The sequence below is a fragment of the Homo sapiens genome, chromosome 10, assembly GCF_000001405.40.
Source record: "Homo sapiens chromosome 10, GRCh38.p14 Primary Assembly".
Lineage (NCBI taxonomy): Eukaryota > Metazoa > Chordata > Mammalia > Primates > Hominidae > Homo > Homo sapiens.
This window is the reverse complement of record NC_000010.11, coordinates 62,867,455-62,871,163: the sequence shown is the minus strand read 5'-3', so window position 1 is coordinate 62,871,163 and position 3,709 is coordinate 62,867,455. Positions and strand designations below refer to the sequence as shown.

General features: G+C 42.4%; 1 annotated feature.

The window, feature by feature from the left end:
- Positions 244-303: an enhancer, noted in NCBI's record as "active region_3433". NCBI's record gives its function as "activates an Ori minimal core promoter by ATAC-STARR-seq in GM12878 lymphoblastoid cells {active_cell/tissue: GM12878}" and the evidence as "EXISTENCE:reporter gene assay evidence [ECO:0000049][PMID:35858748]".

Sequence of the window (3,709 nt, the reverse complement as noted above, 5' to 3'; positions counted from 1 at the left end):
TAATGTGTAATGAGCAGTTCTTCTGAAAACTATATTTTGATTATTCATAACTACTTTAGACGTAGTAGGTAAACCCCCCTGAAAGCCGATGCAGAATGTGTGCAGATGGGAAAGCAGTTAGTCATTTGCTTACTGCTCGGTTTTGAAAGCGATGCCTCTGCTCACGCAAAGGATCAGTTTAATAAATTCAACTCCAGGCAGTCAGGTGTGATGGGGTGGGGGGCGTTATGTAAGATAGAAGCTGCATATTCAGAGCTCAGCTCATGGGGAAGCAGGCCTCAGGTCTTCTCATGCGAAATAGACCTCTTTTGTAAGAACACTTTCCAGAAACAAAATTAGGAAAAAGTACTTTTAAAAAAGTGAATTAGGAAGCAGCTGTTAACTCCTAGAAAGCAGTGACTTGGAGCGGCAGGGAGGCCAACCTGATCCTGGGGAATAGTTAATAGTTGGAGCCTAGGTAACCACCGAATACTACTTAACTGAATTCTCTATCAAGTCCAGCCTTCCAAGAAGTATTGTTTTAGGATGAACTCATGTGGAAACAGTGCACTGGAAGAAAGGACATTAGAATTAGTGCAAACCAAAATATATTTTTAAAACATGACTGAAATGCAACATAGGTACAGAAAAGTGCACAAAACACACACATTATAAAATAAACACACCTGTGTGACCAGCACCCAGCTCAAGAAGACAGTGTTACCAACACCCTGCAGCCCTCTCATGCCTCCTCCCTCCTCACCAAAGCTAACCTCTCTCCTCACTTCTGACAGCATATATTGGTTTGTCTGTTTTTGAACTTTATATAAATAAAGTATGTAAAAATATTAAAAATTAAATTATTAAGTTCAATTTGAATAATAAGAACATTTTCACATGTGCCCATCCACTAGTCGTTTTGAGGGAGGAGAAGGAGAGGAGAAGCAGAGAGATGACTACCACATCTCTACAGACTCACCAGTGATGCTATTGTTGGGATGTTAGTAAGTGTTAGTAATTACACCAGCATAAGCCACCAAATCTATTAATTTTTTTGAGTTGGTGGATGAATCACTTACTCCTTCCTTTCAGGCTGACAAAGCAGAATGCTGAAGTCCCCTTCGGGCTTAGCATGTGGACGCCAAAACCTAGCAGATTCTTGAGCTTTGAAATACTGCCAACAAGATAGGCTGTAAGGAGCTAATTCAGTTTGATGGGTCCAATCAGAGCATCCTTCCACATGCATAAAGTCCACGTGTTTACAGAACTAGAGGGACCCATGAAGGAGGCAGAGGTTAATATCTGAGCAAATAGGGGATCTGTTAGCAAAAGTGGGGAAGGATGGCAACTGGGGAAGAACCAACAGTGTCTGCCATAGTATCATTGTCATGACTATCATCACATGAGCACAGTGACAACAGAGAGCCCACAAAAGAACATCCTCTGTTTATTTCAGTTTTCCCCCAACTCCAGGGTGGGGTAGGTGTGCATTAGTTTCTTAAAGCTGCTGTGACAAAGTATCACATATTGGGAGGCTAGAAGTCCAAAGTCAAGGTGTCATCAGGGCCTTCCTTGTAGAGAAGACACCTTCCTTGTAGGGGAGACACCTTCCTTGCCCCTTTCTAGCCTTTTTTGGCTTGCAGCTGCAGCATCTCAATGCCTCGCATGACACCTTTCCTCATGTGTCTGCTCGGTATCCCTTCTCCTCTTCTTATAAGGACACCAATCATATTGCATTAAGGGACCCCTTAGTCCAGTAGAAACTCATCTCATCTTAACTGTACTACTTACATTCACAACGACCTATCTTCTAATAAGGTCACATTCTGAGGAGCTGGAAGTTAAGACTCCAACCAGGGGATCATGGGAGGCTTTTCCTCCATCCCAGCTTTGGGGGCTACAGAGCTAAGACTGGAAACTGGCCTTGAATAAATACTTGTTTTGAAGCTCCAGGCTATGAAATTTCACTCAAAAGTTTATAAGAGGTAGCTGGGCATGGTGGCTCACGCCTGTAATCCCAGTACTTCAGGAGGCCAAGGCAGGTGGATCACCTGAGGTCAGCAGTTCGACACCAGCCTGGACAACATGGTGAAACCCTGTCTCCACTAAAAATATGAAAATTAGCTGGGCATGGTGGCTGTAATCCCAGCTACTTGGGAGGCTGAGGCAGGAGAATCACTTGAACCTGGAAGGCGGAGGTTGCAGTGAGCCAAGGTTGCACCATTGCACTCCGGCCTGGGCGACAAGCGAGACTCCATCTAAAAATAAATAAATAAATAAATAAATAAATAAATAAATAAATAAATAAATAAAGTTTATAAGAGGCATAATTAGGAGCAGCAAGAAAGCAGTGTGGTTAAAATGTAAAGCTCTGTTGGTTGGGAGCCATCTCAGAGCTGGGTGGGAATCCAGTTTTGACGTTACTAGTTATGTAACACTGTAGTTTCCCCTCTGTGAGATCAGAATCATAGGGATTGGGAATAAGTATTAAAAAGGCAATTTATGCTGACCTCTGCCCTTGGCCCATAATAGGCTCTCAACACTGAGCGCATCCTTATGCCTCAGTTTTCTCAAAGGCATAAAATTCAGGAGGTATCTTTTCATGCAAGATATTGCTTGCAATCTTGACTAGATGGAGTTTTGTTTCTCATCAGATTTTTTTCAGTCTTCTTTCATCCTGTCATTTTTGGGATGCTTAATTTTCCCCTCTATACAAATGTAGAGTTCTTATATTTTCTTTGGCCATATTTTTCTGACTTCAAACTTATATCCAACAAATGAATTAGGGACTCTTTTTAGCTTAATATTACCTTGGTTTTGCAAGTTTTATGGAGTTGAAGCTGTCCCAATAAAAATCAAATCTCCAAGGTTGGAGTTAAGCAGGGACAAAGATTAGTACAGAAAATTTCAGCATGTGTTTGAAGCAAAGGCCAGAGGAAAAACTCTAAACTAATATGTGCATTGACTGCATAGTATAGCTTGGGGAATCTAATTATGATAACCACTACTTATTGAGCAGTTAATATGCACCAAATGTTATTCCAAATATTGTACATATTTTAGTTTATTTGCTTTTCACAACAACTCTAAGAGTTAGGTTGCTTATTGTCCCCATCACACAGATGAGAAAACCAAGGCACAGAGAGGTTATGAAACATGTCCAGCACCACATGCCTGGCAGAGTTATAATTCCAACCAAGGCACTCTGACTTTCAGGGCCCATTTGAGTAACTATTCTGTTATCCTAGCATTTAAACTGGCAAGCTGATGGTGAGTCTGTTGGGATCTGGTCACAGGACAACCACCCACCTGGGTCTGTGCCCTGTTGACCTGTCTACAGCATGACTCCCCAAGGTGAGCTGACCTCCTCCACACTGCAGTCTGCATGCCATCCATGTTCAACCTGGTGATGTCTTGCTTGGATTTCTTCTCTCTGCCAGAAGATCCCAGCTATGTGGGTTCCGATTACTTGCTAAATTGTCCCTGTGAGAAAGTAAGCTGGCTTTGCATGGCCTAGGAGGTAAATGAGCAGAGCCAATAATGAGTGTCAGTAAGGTCAGCCTCACTAATTACAGATGAACTAGAGCTCAGCGTGGCAGATGGAATCATCTAGGATTAATGTCAATGAGTGAATGCATGAATACACCCCCCAGACATCTATAAGGGCCTACTATGTGCCAGTTATTGAAGTCTAGGAGCTCCCAGGGCAGTTCAGACAGCTGCAGAAGTA